General features: G+C 35.8%; 1 protein-coding gene and 1 long non-coding RNA gene across 3 annotated transcripts in view; one reads left to right on the top strand and one right to left on the bottom strand.

The window, feature by feature from the left end:
- The window catches only part of LOC101927947 (uncharacterized), a 469,997-nt gene that overhangs the window by 17,641 nt on the left and 432,821 nt on the right, over window positions 1-19,535 (bottom strand). The window contains exons 13-14 of one of the 2 annotated variants that reach the window (XR_007058336.1): window positions 11,823-12,117; window positions 8,893-9,011 (exon numbers count right to left, since the gene is read on the bottom strand). This is a non-coding gene — a long non-coding RNA (uncharacterized LOC101927947). Of the gene's footprint in view, window positions 1-8,892; window positions 9,012-11,634; window positions 12,118-19,535 lie in introns of those variants that run through there. The other variant, XR_007058335.1, reaches the window with a different exon arrangement.
- Window positions 1-19,535, top strand: part of DCHS2 (dachsous cadherin-related 2) — a 260,058-nt gene that overhangs the window by 210,621 nt on the left and 29,902 nt on the right. Inside the window, exon 14 of the mRNA NM_001358235.2 lies at window positions 11,166-11,279. Coding sequence (NP_001345164.1) covers window positions 11,166-11,279 — 114 coding nt within the window. The remainder of the gene's footprint in view (window positions 1-11,165; window positions 11,280-19,535) is intronic.

The following is a 19,535-nucleotide window of genomic DNA, read 5'->3' as shown; positions in this document are numbered from 1 at the left end:
AGGCTAGGACTTGTATACTGTGTTAAATAGAAGTGGTAATAGTGGGCATTCTGGCTGGGCATACTGGCTCACACCTGTAATCCCAGCACTTTGGGAGGTCGAGGTGGGCAGATCACCTGAGGTCAGGAGTTCAAGACCAGCCTGGCCAACATGGTGAAACATTGTCTCCACAAAAATACAAAAATTAGCCAGGTATGATGGCGGATGCCTGTAATCCCGACTACTCAGGAGGCTGAGGTGGGAGAATCACTTCAACCTTGGAGGCAGAGGTTGCAGTGAACCGAGATCATGCCGTTGCACTCTAGCCTGGGTGACAGAGTAAGACTCTGTCTTTAAAAAAAAAAAAAAAAGAAGTGAGCATTCTTGTCTTGTTCCTTATCTTAGCATAAATGCTTTTGGTTTTTCACTGTTGAGTGTTGTGTTAGCTGTGGGATTTTTAGATATGGCCTTTATTATGTTGAAATAATTTCCTTCTATTCCTAGTTTGAGTTTTTACCATGAAAGCATGTTGAATTTTGTTATACGCTTTTTCTGCATCTACTGAGATGATCATGTAATTTTTATTTTTTGTTCTGTTGATGTGGTGTATCGCATTAATTTGTTTTTGTATGTTGAACAATTCTTGCATCCCAGGGACAAACCCCACTTGGTCATGGTATATAATCCTTTTAATGTGCTGTTGAATTATGTTTGCTAGTATTTTATTGATAAATTTTGCATATATATTTATCAGGGAGATTGGTCTGAAGAAAACTTTCTTTTTAGTATCTTTGTCTGACTTTGGAATGAGAATAATGCTGGCCTCATAATATGAGTTTCAAAGTATTCTCTCCTCTTCAATTTCTTGAAAGAGTTTAAGAAGAATTGACATTAATTTTTTAAATGTTTCTTAGAATTCTCCAGTGATGCCATCTGGTCCTGGAGTTTTCTTTGTTGAGAGTTTTTGATTATTGACTCAATCACCTTACTAATTACAGGTTTCTTGAGATTTTCTATTTATTCATGATTCAGTCTTGGTAGGTTATATATTTCCAGAAATGTATCCATTTCATCTAGGTTATCTAATTTTTTGCTGTATAATTGTTCAAATTAGTCTCTTATGATCCCTTTGGATTTCTGTGGCATTGGTTTTAATGTCTCCTCTTTAATTAAGGATTCATTTTTTTCTCTCTCTCTCTTTCTCTGTCTCTGTCTCATTAGTCTAGCTAAGGCTTTGCCAATTTTATTAAGCTTTTCAAAAAAATAACTTAGTTCCATTGTTTTTTTCTATTGTTTTTCTATAATGTCATTTATTTCTGCTTTAGTATTTATTATTTCCTTCCTTCTACTAACTTCGGGTTAAGTTTGTTCTTTCTCTGGTTCCTTGTGTTGTAATGTTAGATTGTTAATTTGAGATCTTTCTTCTTTTTTAATGTAAGTGTTTACCACTATTAACTTTCCTCTTAGTATTACTATCATTGCATCCCATAATTTTTGGTATGTTTTGTTTCTGTTTTTATCTCAATATATTTTCTAAATTTTCTTTTGATTTCCTTTTGATGTATCAGTAGTTCAAGAATGTGTTGTTTAATTTCCATGTACTTGAGAATTTACTAGCTTTCCTTTTGCTAATGATTTTGAGTTTCATTCCATTGTGGTTGAATGGACTTTTTATTATTATATAATGTTCTTATTTACATCTTGTGATAGTTTTTAACTTAAAGCCAATTTTTCCTGATAAAAGTATGGCCAACCCTACACTCTTTTGGATAGCATTTGTATGAAATATTTTTATCATTTCATTTTCAGCTTATTTGTGTGTTCTTCTATGTAAAGTGAGTCTCTAATAGACAGCATATAGCTGGATCTTATTTTTCATTTATTTTCTTCTCTTGTTACCTTCCTTTGTGTTTTGTTAATTTTTTGTAGCAACATACCTTGATTTTTTTATTTCCTTTTGTGTTTCTTCTATACATATTTTCTTTGTGGTTACTATGGAGACTATATAAAATATCATATTTATAACAATTTACTTTATAACAGCTCTAGCTCAATTACATACAAAAGACTCTGCTCCTTTACATCCCCAACACATTCTATATTATCAATGTTACAGATTACATCTTTTATATTGCATATCCATTAACCTAGTTAGTAGTTATATTTTTATTCTTTTATCTTTTAAATTCTATACCAGAATAAAAGTGATTTTTTCATCACTATTGCCATATTATATTTACCTTTACAAGTGCTGTATATATTTTTTTGTGTTTTCATTTGCTGTATAGTGTCCTTTTGTTTCAACTTGAAGGACTCACTTTCTCATATCCTGTAAGGCAGGTTTAATAGACTTGAAATCCCTCAACGTTTGTTTATCTAGGAAAGTCACCTCTCCTTCATTTATGAAGGACAGTTTTGGAAGACGTGGTATTCTTGGTTGGCAGTTTTCTTACTTTCAGCCCTTTGAGTACATCATCCTACTCCCTTCTGATCTCTACTGTCTCTGCTGAGAAATCCACTTAATCTTATGGGAGCTCCCTTGTTCAGGATGAGTCACTTTTTCTTTCTCTTTTTTTTTTTAATTTAAGATTTTCTCTTTATCTTTGACATATACAGTTGGATTTTAATGTGTTCTCACGTAGATTTCTTTGGATTTATCCTATGTATAGTCCTTTAAGTATCATGAATATGGATGTCTATTTTTTCCCTCAGATTTGGGGACTTTTTTGCCATTGTTTCTTCAAATAAGCTTTTTACCCATTTTCCTTTGTTTCCCTCTTCTCCTTCTGAGCTTTCATAGTGAATATATTGGTCCACTTGATGATGTCCCATGAGTTCCTTAGGCTTCCTTCACTTTTCTTCATTATTTTATTGTTGCTGTTGTTCCTCTAACTTGATAATTCCAAATGATCTGTCTTCAAGTTCACTGATTCCTCTGTTTGATCAAGTCTTCTGTTAAATCCCTCTGGTGAATTTTTCAATTCAGTTATTTTGTTCTTCAGCTCCTTAATTTCTGGGTTTTTTTAAATTAGTTTCTATCTCTTTATTGATATTCTCACTTTGTTCATGCAGTTTTCCTCATTTCATTTGATTGTCTGTGTTCTCTTGTAGTGCATTGAGTTTCTGTGTAATTATTTTAAATTCTTTTTTTTTGTGTGTGTGATGGAGTCTTGCTCTGTTGCCCAGGCTGGAGTGCAGTGGTATAATCTCGGCTCACTGTAGCCTCTGCCTCCTGCGTTCCAGCGATTCTCCTGCCTCAGCCTTCTGAGTAGCTAGGATTGCAGGTGCCCGCCACCATGCCCAGCTAATTTTTTTATTTTTGGTAGAGACAGGGTTACACCATGTTGGCCAGGCTGGTCTTGAACTCCTGACCTCAGGTGATCCACCTGCCTTGGCCTCCCAAAGTGCTGGGATTATAGGCATGAACCACTGCACTCAGTTCTGAATTCTTTGTTAAGTAATTTATAGATCTGTTTCTTCAGGTTAGCACCTGGAGATTTGTTTTATTCCATTGATTCAGCCATTTTTTGTTTCTCCATATTCCTTATTGTCTTTTTTTTTTTTTTTTTGGTGTGATTTCTGCATTTGAAAAAAATCACCACCTCTCTAGATTTTACAGACTGGATTTGTGCAAAGGAAGATCTTTACCAATCAGCCTGGCTACAGATTCTGGGGGCCTCCTAAAGGTTTTCTGGGGATGAATCTTCACTGGGCTTATGTACGTGACTACCCAATTAGAGAGGTTTGCCAGTTTCTTTCTGAGGGGCTTTGTAGTCTCTTGCTCTCTCTGGTGTCTATCTGCAGTACTTCACATTCTCTGGCACTGCGGTAAGCCACTGAGTTCTCTTTTGTTCTCAGCAACCCTCAAGCATCCAAAGTATGCTGGCTCCCCATCAGTATTCTGAGCCAAGTTAACACAGAAACCATCTCCACAGGTAGCCCCCTCAAAAGCTATAAAGTTGGATGTATATTCTACCCTTCTCTTTCCATCCCAGTGGAGAAGCCCCAAGTTGTGTGTTTATTCTTAAGAGTGGCAGTAAGAAAAGAAAAAGCTATGCCAACAAAAGAAACAATCTTGCTGATGGCCTTTTTTTTATGGGTTAGAATGCTTATTATATGCCCAATTACAAAAGAAAACACAGTGACTGCTTGCATAGAAAAGAATAAAGATGACTACAGAACTGCAAAGAAGAGTTATACATGGCCTCTCTCATAAAGGAACAATCCTATTTTTATTGCAAATCAAATTTTCATAATATTTTCATAATATCAAATGGGATTGTAGCACAAAAGAATTTCACTAGCACTGTTGCTAGCTTAGGGGAATGTCCACTGGGGATTAAATGCAATGTCTACAATCTGACTATTCTTGGTTTTGAGCTTGCCTGGTGTCCCATGACTTCTTAACTGCTTTTGCAGTTCTCATGAAGGCTTTTTGGAACATATGTTCTTGTTAAGTCCGTGCCTTTGTGCAGCAAGGTCTGGGGTTTCCCATTCTGCCATCTTGCTAATGTCACTCCAGGCTTTTCTTAAGTAGTTGCAATATGTTTAGTTTCAATGGTTGGACACTTAAGTGATAACAGATAATTCAGAATCATCCAAATGTTTGAAAATCTGTTTCTCTCAAGTCAGTCATCAATAAGAAAATGTTGGCATTGCTTAGGAATAACAAACATAAAACTCTAGAATTATTCACTCATGCACTTCTATGCATACAATGTTTTCATAATTACTTTACCTAAATACTTTTATAATTATTGATTTTTACAGTCATATAGCATTAATTAATAGTTATCTAAGTATGCTTTTAAATTGCTGCTGTGAGCGGTCAGAGTTTTTTAACTCTATTTTTGTAAAGAAGAAAAAACCAAGAACATTAAATGTTTCACACTTTTTAAATACGGTGTCAGACTTGAAATAAAATTTATAAAAGCTTGAAAATGTAAAAGGTAAATTATTCTGTATGTTTCACTTAACTCATTCGAGTTGCAGGTACAGTGTTGGTTTTCATAGCTTACCCTTTCTACCTTGATAATGTGAAATGAATAGTAAGTTTCATCTATATGCCCAGAGATAGACTTTTATTTAAAATTTTCACAGTAAGCAGATGCCAAGAAGGATTCAAGTCCCTTAAGTTATTTTATCTTTTTTCAAGAGAATCTCCAATTTGGACTTTGTCAGAGGAAGAACATATAAAACATTTGCAGCTTCTTGCTGACTTCAGTGTCTAGTTTGAAGTATTTTCATTGAATGAAATTCTTTTGTGCTACAATTCCATTTGATATTATGAAAATTTGATTTGCAACAAAAATAGGATTGTTCCTTTATGAGAGAGGCCATGTATAACTCTTCTTTGCAGTTCTGTACTCATCTTTATTCTTTTCTATGCAAGCAGTCACTATGTTTTCTTTTGTAATTGGGCATATAATAAGCATTCTAACCCATGAAAAAAAGGCCGTCAGCAAGATTGTTTCTTTTGTTGGCATAGCTGTTTCTTTTCTTACTGCCATCCTTAAGACTTATATGACAAGCCAGTTGAAATAAAATTTCCTGTGTTTAGGAAATAAATTGTACCCGGAAGCACAGAACTTTGAGCAGTGGGGATAAAACATATTGTACTACTGTAAAGGCATATTCCTACCAAAAATCTAAGACATTTTTATATTAACAATATGTCTCTCAAAATGCAATAAAATAAGCATCAGATTATAATGCAATTTGAAAGAGTTCTCAACATGTGTGGTAACTTGATTCCACCATGATTGATTATAATCCATTACTTTGTCACTAAATGACTTCTTCCTAACTGGCTTGAAAAGAATAACCGTTTGGAAATCCTGATAAATGATTTTTAAACTTTGTTACAGTTTATGTTAAGCATAATGTTTGTAAAGAGAGTAATATATTCAGTTGGGTTTTCTTGCTCTTTTTCCTTAACAAATTCTGTTTTATCCCTTTTTTTTGACTGAGCTTTCACTGAAGTTTCAGTTTTGCAGGCAATATCACACTTGTTTCCTTTAATATTTACAGTGATCACTGCATTTTTGAGTGTTAGGCATTGAAAGGCTTCTAAGGAAAACTACTATTTGTTCCAGAGCCTTTTCTTTTTTCTGTTCTTTACAGTAAAATCCTTTTACATATCCAGAAAAAAAAAATAACAATTTGGCTTGGTTTAGGGGTCATTTTTGTTATTACCTCTAGCAAGATGGGTTTCAAGTTGGGGTCTCTGGGGCTTGTGTATGAGGGTTCAATGAGATGGCTCAGCAAAGATCTTGAGTAGCTGTTTTTTTTGTTGTTATTTTGTTTGTTTTTTCTAACTACTGCAAATCTCACTATCAGATATGGTATTATAGCAGTGAGTTATTTGAAAAAAAAGTTAGTTAAAAAAAATTGCTTTTGGCTTACAGTGATCCTGTAGGCAGAGACCAGGATTTTTCTAATCTCTCACAATAGAAAATGTCAGTGTCCTTTCTCCTCTGTCTCCCTTTTTAACCTCCTTTCTTCCCGTACTCATTAAGCATCTACTACATACAAGAAAATAAACTTGATACACAAAATAACATGTTTTATTCCTGAAAAATTACACTGAGCAAAATACGCCAGATACTACATGATACACAAGTATATGAAATTTTCAAAGCAAAACTAATATAGAGTTATAAAACATATACAATACAAATATATAGAAAATCTCCTCTGCTGTCATGGAACTTAGTCCAATTTAAGCAGGCAGATGAGATCAGTCTTCAACTATGTTCAGTACAAGTCCTTAGATGACAAATTAGTAGCACAATCTAAGTGCCAAAAGGGTTAGAAACAAAAGAGGAGAGATTTGTCTTCTCTATCAGAGATGGTAAACAAGAAAACTCAGAATTGGAGTCAGACCACAGCTGTGTTTTGTTCAACCAATATAGTGGGGTTTTTCCCCATAAATTAAATTATTTTCCAACACTTAGAAATTGAGAGATTTCAAATAAAAATAAATATATAAAATTTTGAGCTTCTCTTGAAAAGCCCAGAATCTTCAGCATCCTGAAGCCTCTTTTCCCTGCTGACAGCGATAGGCTGACAGTGACTGTCTGAGACATTTTCTGGCCTCCTCCACCATTTGACCTCTACATTTGTTCCTGCTTCTTGCTTTTACCCAAATGCATATGGGATGATGAGCCCTGCTCTGTACTCATCTCTGACACCATGTCAGCTCCTGTTCCTTTTAGATGTTTCCTCTTACTTTCCTCTTGTGACTTGTTACCACTGTCTTATACATGGCCTCTGTTACTGTGCACCCAGCAGCAGGGTAGACTCCTATAGCCTTACTCCCTATCCATCTCTCCCCAATCAGGACAGTGTGCATACTTTTACCAGTATGTGTAATCGTATAGGGCAGGATGACAGTTAAGTAAGAAGCACAGGCATTGCAAGATTGGGAGTGTAAAACAGATGCCATAAATTACAGGCCTAATATCAGAGGACTAAGGCCAGTAAAGGAACTATGAGGAAGCTTCTTTCATTTATTTTTTAGAATATACATATATATAATATTTTTTCTATGTATACATATTTGTTTTTTTGTTTCTTTTAAATTTAAGTTTTTATTTCAGTAGGTTTTGGGGAAACAGATGGTCTTTGGTTACATGAATAACTTATTTAGTGGTGATTTCTGAGATTTTGGTGCACCCGTCACCCAAACAGTGTATATAGTATCTATTGTATAGTCTTTTATCCTTCACTTCCCCACCTTTTCCCCCAAGTCCCCAAAGTTCATTGTATCATTCTTATGCCTTTGCATCCTCTTAGCTTAGCTCCCACATACGAATGAGAATACACAATGTTTGGTTTTCCATTCCTGAGTTACTTCACTTAGAATAATAGTCTCCAATTCCATCCAGGTTGCTGTGAATGCCATTATTTCATTTCTCTTTATGGCTGAGAGGTATTCCATGGTGTGTGTGCATATATATATATCACATTTTCTTAATCTACTCGATGATTGATAGGCATTTGGGCTGGTTCCATATTTTTGCAATTGTGAATTGTGCTGCCCTAAACACGCATACACAGGTATCTTTTTTGTATAATGACTTCTTTTCCTCTGGGTAGATATCCAGAAGTGGGATTGCTGGATCAAATGGTAGATCTACTTTTAGTTCTTTAAGGAATCTGCAGACTGTTTTCCATAGTCGTCGTACTAGTTTACATTTTCACCAACAGCGTAGAAGTGGAACTATGAGGAAGTTTCTGAGGAATAGTATGTGAGTAGTAAACAGGAGGCCAAGGACCAAAGATGGATTAAAAAGAGGAGGAAGTGGCCAATAAGCACATGAAAAGATGCACAATATCACCAGACACCAGATAAATTAAATTAAAACCACTGTAAGATACTACATATCCACTAGGATGGCTACAATTTAAAAGATTGATAATACCAATCAATGTGGATGTTATCAGTCCGTTCTCACACTGCTATAAAGATACTACCTGTGACTGGGTAACTTACAAAGGAAAGAGGTTTAATTGACTCACAGTTCTGCATGGCTGGGGAGGCCTCAGGAAACTTATAAACATGGTGGAAGGGGTGGAGGCATGCCTTACATGGCAGTAGGTGAGAGACAGTGGGCAAGAGCAGGGAAAACTGCCTTATAAAACCATCAGATCTCATGAGAACTCACTCACTATCATGAGAACAGCATGGGGAAAGTGCCCCCATGATCCCATCACCTCCCACCTGGTGCCTCCCTTGACACGTGAAGATTATGAGGATTACAATTTGAGATGAGATTTGGGTGGGGACACAAAGCCAAACCATATTAGTAGAGCAACTGCCATTCTCATATGTTGTTAGAAGAAATGTAAAATGATACTACTTTGGAAAAATAGTTTTGCATTTTCTTATAAGGTTAAATGTATACTTACCGTAGGTATTTAGGCCTTGATCAGTGAAAACATGGGTCCACACACACACTTGTGTATGAATGTTCATAGCAGTTTTTTTCATAATAGCCAAAAACTGGAAATAATTCAAATGCCCATCCCTAGGTAAATGAAAAAGAAATTGTGGTTTTCCATTTAATAGAATATTACTCTGCAATAACAATTGTATGAATTTTTATACATAAAATAACATGCTTGATTCTCAAAAAATGCTGAGCAAAAGAAATCAGGTATTGTGTAATTCACAAATGTATGAAATTTAAGAGGCAGAACTAATGTAGACTTATAGAAAGCAGATCAGTGATTTACTGGGGCCAAAAGTGAGAGAAAACTGAAATGGGCATAAGAAAGCATTTTGAGGTGTCGAATATATTCTATGATCATGATACTGATCATAGAAAATATTTTATGCTTATGATACTGATTACACAGTGTATATATTTTCAAGATTCATAGAACTCTATATTTAAAATATGTACAGATTATTGTATGTAAATTTCACATAAATGAAATTGATTAAGTAAAAAAATACTTTTACAAAACAAGGCAGGCAATCCTAAGAGGGTGACACATAGACAACTGGGAAAGATGAGCAGCAAAGGACATAAAATATTACAAGGACATCAAAGTACTAACTTGGGGACCAAATGAATACTTGGGACCCTTCCGGCTGCTGTAGATGACTTTTTCCACAGAGCTTCCCATACAGACAGCTGCCCTACCTGGTTTGCCTTAAAGGCACTCAGCATCTTCTCTTAGTATATCAGTCCCCTCAAGAACTTTGCATTTCTTCATTGCTTCCTGTCACATAAAGCGAGGATCTGCTCATCCACTTATTTTGGTAAATAAAGTTTTATTGAAACACAGCCACACTCCCTTGGTTATGCATTGTCTGTGACTACTTTCATGCTACAATAGCAGATTTGAGTATTTGCAACAGGACTGTGTGACTTGTAAAGCCTAAAATAATTAATATCTGGCCCTTGACAGAAAAATTAGCTGATTCTTGACATAAAGCCACACTTATCTCCCTGGCTCTCAAGCTCTCCCATTCTCTTGCTACCTCTCTTACCCTTCTTCACACTGTATTTATACTTCCTATTTAAATTTATTCCCCACTCCTGCCTTATTTGGTTCTAGATCTAATTACAAGGATTGTCTTCTTGCCTCTATCAGTCCTTGCTAATTCTTCTTTCATGTTGGTATTTAGTCTGTTCCCGTAACTTAAAATGACTTCCTTCTCTTTTGTCTTTCCAATTCCTATACCTAACTGAATTTCTGTTTCTCCCTTAAAGTTATCTCTTTGCCCCTGCTCTATCTGAACAAATCTTGAATTAATTCATGTCTTGCAGTTAAGTTGCTGGTTACTCTCTAGTTGGGTTGCTTTTTCCTACAGCTAGATCGGAAGCTGGTTGAGGGAATATTTCTTTTCTTTATGCTCTCATAGCCTCCTTTCCCACTCCCACCTCCAGTGTTTTGGGGCAGTGTGTCAAATGTCTTTAATCTGTCCATGTCTCTCCATCTCCCATCCCACAGTCCTAGGTCATTGTCTTCTGCTTGGACTATTGCAGTATTATCTTAATTGGCCTCTCTGCTCCATTCTTACCCCTCTCTTCTCTGTTCTCACAGCACTTAGTATGATATTTTTAAAAAGCAAATCATATTTTACTCTACTCCTTAAAATGCTTCCATGACTTCCCTTTGCACTTACAATAAAATCTGACCTTTGCTTATCCTGCCATCTCCACCTTCTTCTTCTTCCCCTACTCATTGTGCTTTACCCAACCAAGCCCTTTCCTAGCCCACAGCCTTTGTGGTGGTGGCTCTTTTTCCCAAAATCCTCTTCTTCCAGCTGTTTCTATGGCTTCTCATCCTTCACTGTCCCCAGACCTCTCTAAAGTCTGGTGCTTCCCCTGAAAAAGAAGTACCTTATATCAAGTAACCTTATTTCTCTCTTTCTAAGGGCCTGACACAATTGAAACTTTTCTATGATTATGTATGTTTTAATGGTTTATTGTCTGTCTCCTTACACAAGTTAATAACCACCATGAGGACAGAGATCTTTTCTATCTTGTTTGCTAGTATATCCCTAGCACCTAGCATGGGATCTGGCTCATTGAAGACAATAAGTTATTGTTGAATCAATGAACAAGTGAAAACATAGTAGGCAAATAATAAATAATCAGTATTTTCTCTTGTGTTTCCATGAAATTTTTTTATCCTAATGGAGTTCTTTTTTTACCTAATTTTTACAGGTACTTCTATTGTGACTGTTAAAGCTTTTGCTCCTGACTCAATTCAGGACAGCATGAAATATTCAATTTTTAGTGGAAATGAAGATGGAGTTCTTTCCCTGTGCTCTAAGTCAGGTAATCCTTCTCTACCCTATACTAGCTTTATTTTCTGCTCCATTTAATGTTATTTCTGCAAAATTTGCAAAGTAGAAATTGTTAGAGCTAAGTAATTTAAAAGGTAAGCAAGAAAGAATTTTTTAAGCTAGCCTATGAAAAATTATGGGAAATCAAAAACTATTTATTTATATTCACTAAGAATTATATTCTTAATATTTCCAAACTAGACAGTGTCTATCCTGCCCTTCAAATTTTTGAAGATAAATTAGCTTCCACTTACAATTTACCCATGTATTTGGGAAAATTGGAGATAGAGTAGTGAGATCATTGACACTGAGTCTGAATTCAAAAATAAGAACACATCTAGCTGTAAGGAGTTTTCATCAGAGATTCTTGTAATTTGCTACTGAATGTCAACAACACAACAACAAAAAAAGAACAGCTGTGAAGGTTTCTACACAGTGGTAAAGAAATTACTTCCAAACACAGCATGTATTAAACTTAGCTTCAGTAAGACCATTACTGTTTAAAATGAATACCAATTGATTACTTCAAACATACCTTTTTTCACTAACAACTCTGTAGTAGATACACATCTACTGCTTTGTTGTCAAACTTCAAGAAGAATGTTTCTAATAATGTCTCTGTTGCCATACAACCACCTTATTTAATCTATACTACATGCACCTGGGAAGAATTGAGAGCGGGTAATTCCTTAGGTAAATGTCCTTTCATCCAGGGTGGTGTTATGACTTTTTGGTCCATACAGCCTTTGGTCAGCAACCTTTCTGAGGTAGCCTGCTAGAAGTCTTCATCTCTTCATCCCATTGTTGCATTAAAGGGTAGTATAGGAAACCTGTTCACGAAAGGATCGTTTGTGAACATCACCAAGTCTTAATTTTCTTGCAGTCCAGGTGTCTGAGGGTTCTGGGAAAGCAGCCCAGATTAAAATGCTTAGGAACGAAGAAGAGTAGCATAGCTGGCATATTTTCCCAGGCTATCCAGACCCTCCGCCACCGCACTCCTAACATGGCCCAGACCTGGTCTTATTTCTTCTACAGTCCATCATTAAAATGCAGATAAAATCTTCCTAGGGTTAGTCCAAAGAGGTCATTCACAGGAACATCTTTATTTTTTGATTAGATAACTTATTTACATTGAGTTTTAAAATTTTATTGTGAAATATCTGCCAGATGGTATGTTGAAACATGTAAGACTGTTTAATGGACAATAGTAAAATAAAAACCCATACACATGCCACCCATCTCTGGAAATAGACATTAAGGTAGCCCACCCTTATCCTTAGTTTCTTTTTCTCCAGGCTTAGTTACCTGTGGTCAACCATGGCCCAAAAATGTTAAATGGGAAGGTCCAGAAATAAACAATTCATATGTTTTAAATTTCTCACTATTCTGAGTAGTGTGATGAAATCTCACATTATCCTACTCTGCCCCACACAGAAGTAAATCCTCCTTTTGTCCAGGGTCTCCACACTGTACATGCTCCCTGTCTATTAGTCAGTAGCTGTCTCAATTCTCAGTTTCACTGTCACATATTGCAGTACTTATATTCATGTCACTCTTATGTAACTTAATAATGGCCCCAAAGCACGAGTGTAGTATTCTGGATTCTGGCAATTTAGATATGCCAAAGAGAAGTGGTAAAGCGTTATTTTTTTGGGGGGGGGAAAGTGAAAGGTGAAAGTTCTCAATTTAATAAGAAAAGAGAAAAGATTGTATGCTGAGGTTGCTAAGATCTACAGTAAGAATGAATATTCTACTTGTGAAATTGTGAAGAAAGAAAAAAAAATTTGTGCTAGTTTTGCTATGGCACCTCACGATGCAAAAGTCATGGCCACAGGGCATGGCAAATGCTTAGTTAAGAATGGAAAAGGCATTAAATTTGGGGGTGGAAGACTTGAATAGAAAAACGTGTTCAATTTGACAGTAACATGTTGCAACAGAAAGCATTGAGCCCTCTATGAAGGCTTCAGCAAGGAATCCCCTGAAACGAGTGACCCTAAGCCATTTACTGCAAGTAAGAGATGGTTACACAGATTTGGAAATAGGTTTGGACTGAAAAATACAAAAACTACTGGAGAGGCTGCATCTGCCAACAAAGAAGGTGCTGCCGCATTTCTGAAGATGTTGAATAAGGAGAAAGGAAACCATCTAAAGCAAATCTCTAATTGCCGTAAAGCTAGGCTTCGGGAAGAAGATGCCCAATGGAACCTACATTCATAGATGTACAAAGGAAGCACCAGGGCATAAAACATGGAGGGACAGATGAACTCTGGTACTATGTGGCAACACTGCAGGACATATGATAAAATCAAGTGTAGTATACAAAGTGAAGAACCCACATGCTCTCTGAAACAAAAAATTATCTGCCTATGTTCTGGCAACATAATAATAAAGCATGGGTGACACACATCTTGTTTATGGAATGGTTCCACCAGTGCTTCATTCCAGAAGTTAAAAAAAAAAATACTTGGATGAGGAAAGGTTGGAATTCAAAGTTCTGTTAATATTAGACAATGCACCTGGCCATCTTGCTATGAAAATGAAAATGTTGAGGTTGTATTTTTACCTCCAAATAAAACCTCATTGCTTCAGCCCCTTGAGCAGGCATCATTTGGTTTATCAAGGTCACACACCTGCCTGGTATTTGAGTTATCAAGGTCACACACCTGCCTGGTATTTGATCAGCCACTAATTGATTGATGCAGATCATAATCTGGATGTAATGTAATGCTGGAAATCATTCACTGTTGCTGTCGCAGTAACATTCATCAAAGCTGCCATGCATGAATTAAAACCAGAAACTGTAAATGCCTGCTGGAAGAACTTCTAGAGTGAAGTCATGAATGATTTTAATGGCTTCCTGGGGATTGACGGAAAAGTTAGGAAAATAATTCACACAGCAAGACAAGTTGGTGGAGAAGGGTTTGCCGACATGCTTGATGAAGAAGTAGAAGAACATATTGAAGGCCAATGAGAATTGTTAATAAATGAGGAAGAAATTTTTGAGTCATCTACAGAGAAAGGGAAGACAAAGAAGAAACTAAAGCAGAACGAACAATGTAGACATTACTGAAATTTGCTCAAGTGTTTCCAATCACACAGATATGAAAAGACAAAATTATAGAATACAATCCTCAGATAAAGTGCAGCATTGAAGTCACCCATATGATCACAGGATTATAACCTCTGTACCAACACTTTGATTAAAAACTGACAAGCTTTCTTTTTTTTTTTTTTTTGAGACGGAGCCTTGCTCTGTTGCCCAGGCTGAAGTGCAGTGGCATGATCTCGGTTCTCTGCCACCTCCACCTCCTGGGTTCAAGCGATTCTCCTGCATCAGCCTCCCAAGTAGCTAGGACTACAGGCATGCGCCACCACACCCAGGTAATTTTTTGTAATTTTTTTAGAGACGGGGTTTCACTGTGTTAGCCAGGATGGTCTCGATCTCCTGTCCTCGTGATCCACCCGCTTCACCCTCCCAAAGTTCTGGGATTACAGGCGAAGCTTTTATTACAATGATTTCCAAAAGGTTTTGGAAAAACAAACAAACAAACAAACAACAAAAAAAAAACCCCTGCAACTCTCAAGTACTCCCAACCATCAACATCATCTGCTCTTGACATCCAACCATCGACATCATCGTGGCTCGTTGATCCAGGACCACTTGAAGCAGATGATGATCCTTCTCCTGACATACCATCAGACATTCAGTAGTAGCCTACTGCTATGTCACAGTGCCCATGTCATTTACCTCACTTTACCTTATCATGTGGGCATTTTGTCATCTCACATCATCACAAGAAGAAGGATGAATACAGTACAATACGATATTTTGCAAGAGAGACCACATTCACGTAACTTTTACTACAGTATAATTGTTCAATTTTATTAGTCGTTGTTAATTTCTTACTGTGCCTAATTTAGAAATTAAACTCCATCATAGGTATGCATATATAGAAAAAAGCATAGTATATATAGGGTTTGGTACCATCCACAGTTTCAAACATTCACTGGGGGGTCTCAGAATATATCCCCCACAGGGAAGGGGGAACTACTGTACTAGAATTTTCGAATTTTTGAAAGCCTCTGTGTGCCCCTTCCTTTTTATATCTCTTTTTTCCTTTCTCTTTTTTTTTTGTTGTTCAGAAATATGTGTACATTGCAGAATATCTAAATTGAGCCAATTAACATACACATCACTTTATGTCTCTCTTTTTTGTCCCAGAGATAATTAGTAACTTGAATTTGTATTGATCACTGGCTTCTTTTTTTCTCGTAAAGAAAGACAGGTTCTCACTTTGTTGCCCAGGCTGGCCTCAAACTCCTGAACTCGAGCAATCTCCTTGCCTTGGCCTCCTGAAGTTCTGGGATTATAGGCATGAGCCACTGCACCCAACTGATCGCTGACATTTTTGGTTATAATTTTTCCACTGCATTTGAATTTCTAAACAATATGTCATTTACTTTTACCTTGACTTAAGTATGATAATAGAATCATGCTACGTACTCTTCTATGACTTTATTCCTTTGCTCAACATTTTTACTATGACTTACAGTGCATAAACCATTACATGTTAAAGAGAAATAGCAAAGAATGAAATGTACAGGCTTGTATGTCTCTTGTTAGATTTCTCCTAAGTACATTATGCTTTTTCTCACTACGGTAAATGAAAAAAAATGCTTTTCCTGACGGTGCTGGTGTATGTATTTGAAACTGATTTTTGTCTTTTGATTTTTTGTCTGGCAAATTTGCAAACTAGAGACTGACATTTTTCTGTATATTTGACACATAAAATCATATCTGAAAATGACCACTTTCCCCTGTCTGAAGTTATATAGTTATTTTTCTTATTTCGGTGGCTAGCCTCGTTACTTTAACATATATAAAGTCCAACATTAATCAATATTCTCTTCCTGAGTAATACAAGAGATTTGCAATTACTGATCTCGAAGTGCTCCTATATCAATTTACATGCTTTTGTGACCACAATTTTGGTTCTTTCAAATTAGGCATTATTAGTATTTTTCAGTTGATTTAGCTGCATCCTTGTTGATGTCTCTGCTAACCATTCTTTCTTACATCTCAGCCTTTCTTCTAGTATTATTTTTTTCTGCTTGAACTATCTCCTTTAGTGAGGGTTTGTATAGTAAGCTCTCTCAGATTTAGGTAGTTAAAAATGTACTTATTTAATCCATGCTTTTAAAATACTTTTGCTGGTCTTGTAATTCTAGATTCACAGTTATTTTATCTCATCATATTAAGATATTATTCTACTGGCTTCTGGCATCCCATTGTCGCATTAAGAAGCTAGCTGTTGATCTAAACGCCATTCATTTGTATCTTTTCTTGGAACTCCAATTAGACAAATGTTGGGCTATGTGACTCTCTGCTACATCTCTTTTTTATATTTTTCATCTGTCTTTCTCTTCATTCTGAGGAACTGTATTTTTCATTTCCAGTAGTTCTGTTGAATTTTTTTCAACTCTTTGTCTTTTGAAAAATAGCCTCTTGTTCCTTGCTCATATTTCCAAGGGTTTTTAATGTATTTAAACATATATAATAATTCTGTGTCCAACAATTCCTGCATCTGAAGCCTTTGATGTTTGGTTCTGTTGTCTATGGGTTTGCTTGCTGTCATTTATGGTGCCTTGCTTCTCTATGACTTTAGTGCTTGTAGACTATGAGCTACTCATTATCCTTGAAAGCTCTTTGACGATTCTCTGAAGCCTCAGTTGAATTTATGCCCTTAAAAGAGGATTTGCTTCCTTTTCTGCAATTCACCTGGAGAATCATCAGGGAGAAGCCAGTTTAAGTTTAATTCCTAAGAGTTTTAAATATGTATAACTATGATAGTATAGCTACCATAAATTCAGGCTTAAACTAATACGGAAGATTTTTTTTCTCCCTTTCAATCAACACCAAGGTTAAAAAAAAAAGTCAAGCTTCTGGTGGTTTTTTGGCCAAAACCTTTTGGAAGAACATTGTAATTAGAAGTTGTAGTCTCTTTCTTTCTAACTCATCACCGTTGCTGCAGATTGTAATCCTTCTGTGATCATATGGGTGACTTTGATGCTGCATTCCATCTGTGGATTGTATTCATGAGTTTGTTCTTTAATATCTACACAATTTGAAACACTTCAGCAAATTTCAGTTATGTCCACATTGCTAATTCTGCTTCAGTTTCAGTTTTCTTTTTTTTTTTTTTTTCAATAATGGCCACTGATTTGGAATATATGCAGCCTTTAGGTTTCCAGCTTTATGCTAGTTTTTCCTATTAGCCCCTTCACCTTTTGTGGGTTCTCACCTTATTTTCCACACTCCATGCAACTATCAGAAATGAATAGTAAGATAAAAGGTTGTGGTAGAAATCTTTGGAACAAAAATGAGCTGTTAGTACTTACTAACCTCTCAGGATTTCTGTCTTCATTTCTGTTTTGTCCTCTGTAGAATTCTTACAACTGTACCAACTCAATAATGCATTGTAATACATACACATATATGTCTATGCATATATATGTATTATATATATAATTTATCATGCATTTTAGTTGTTTTTATCATGAAGATTGGTCAAGTATATAGTTTAACATATTGCTGTCAAGAAAGCTTTTTTAAAACTTTAATTATGATATTAAATGCATCTTTTATGCTACCTTTGACAAATTATCATTAAAATTGTATCTAATTGTATAGGTTTTCTGAATGTATGTATTTTAAACATACACCACTTAAAATGTGAGACTGATATGTATAATAAATCAATAATATTTATCTCTAAGATTATAGTAACTTAAGAATAAAAGTGTGAGAAAACCATTTTATTAGTAATTAGTTTAATAAGTTGTCATTAGACAGATCTCTGATGAGAACTCTGTTTTCTGTCAATTTGTGCCAGTTTACCCTCTGTTCCATCGTCACAAACCAAGTTGACTCTGTATTTAAACTTCATGCCACTTTAGTGTAAAAACATGTATTTCTCACTGTCTAAATCAGCAGCAATTTTAGAGCTTGACTAAGGTTTTGTATGTAAATAACAGATGGCAGCATTCATTTTAGTATTTATTAGAGTGGCGCAAAACAAAACTGATCAAACTTTCAATGTTTCAAAGACATTGTTTAAGTAGGAGACGGTTTGAAAGCTACTGAATAACATAAATATTTATCACATTCTGCTTTGGTTTGTACAAATGCATGTACACAGTATATAATTGATGGAAGTAACCTGATTATGTTATCAAGCATGTAGCATTTGATGAATCTTAATCTCATTTGGATGTGTATTTCATAACTTTGTCAAAAGCTACATAATGTATGTATTTTTTAGAAGAAAATGTTACTACCATTTTTTTCTCAAGTTATTCCATAACTGGCACATTAACATATAAGCAAGAACATGAAGTTAGTATTTGTGAGGCTTCTTACTCTAAGGAAGGTGTTAGTTTCTGCGTATACCATTAGACAGAGTCCAGTAGTACTTTCCTCTCACTGATGACAGTACACGCTTGATGTCTTTGTGAAAACTACCCATGTATTATCCAAGGAAAAATGTGGATCTAGCAGCCTTGAATCATCCCACAGACTGGTTATTGTCTTTTCTACTTGCACGACTTTCACAGCATATGCCAGTTATTACCCCAAAAATAAAAACCATGCAAGGAAAGCATTAGAACCGTCGATCCATTCCAAGTGCAAAATTCCAATTATCAAAGCCTAAACACAAGCCTTTTATTAAAAATCAACTTTGATCTGCACTATAATTGGCACACTTTCTACTCAGTGACACGGGCAATTTAGTGTTGCATTTCTATTCTATTTTTCCTTTACAAACAGTAACAGAACATGATAGCCAGGCAAGTGCTCTTTTTGGTGGAGACAAGAGATCTGGGTGAGAGCTGTGGACCCACCTCAGACTCGGGCTCTGGTGACATTTCGGGGTGTGGGAATCAGCCTTTGTTTCAGGGAGGTTTCTGAAGACCACCTAGTTTCATCACCAGCATATCAAAAAGCATCTTAATTATTCTCCAGCTGCCCAAAGTTAGAGCTACTCTAAATTTTCTGCCAGGGGTGTTGGTCACAACAGACTATGGTTTGTGAAGTAATTTGGTTCTAGTACTAAATTGATAACTAAATTTGATATCAAAAAATGATACTGAGTTTATGAAATTTTAAATTTGGTAGTATAGTGAGTTAATATATATTGTTTTTTTTTCCTAACAGAATATAAGCTACAAAATCTCCCCCAAAACACCC

This window comes from Homo sapiens, chromosome 4 (assembly GCF_000001405.40).
Source record: "Homo sapiens chromosome 4, GRCh38.p14 Primary Assembly".
Taxonomy (NCBI): domain Eukaryota; kingdom Metazoa; phylum Chordata; class Mammalia; order Primates; family Hominidae; genus Homo; species Homo sapiens.
Note: the sequence above shows the minus strand (reverse complement) of the source record. Positions and strands in the feature narration are given on the sequence as shown.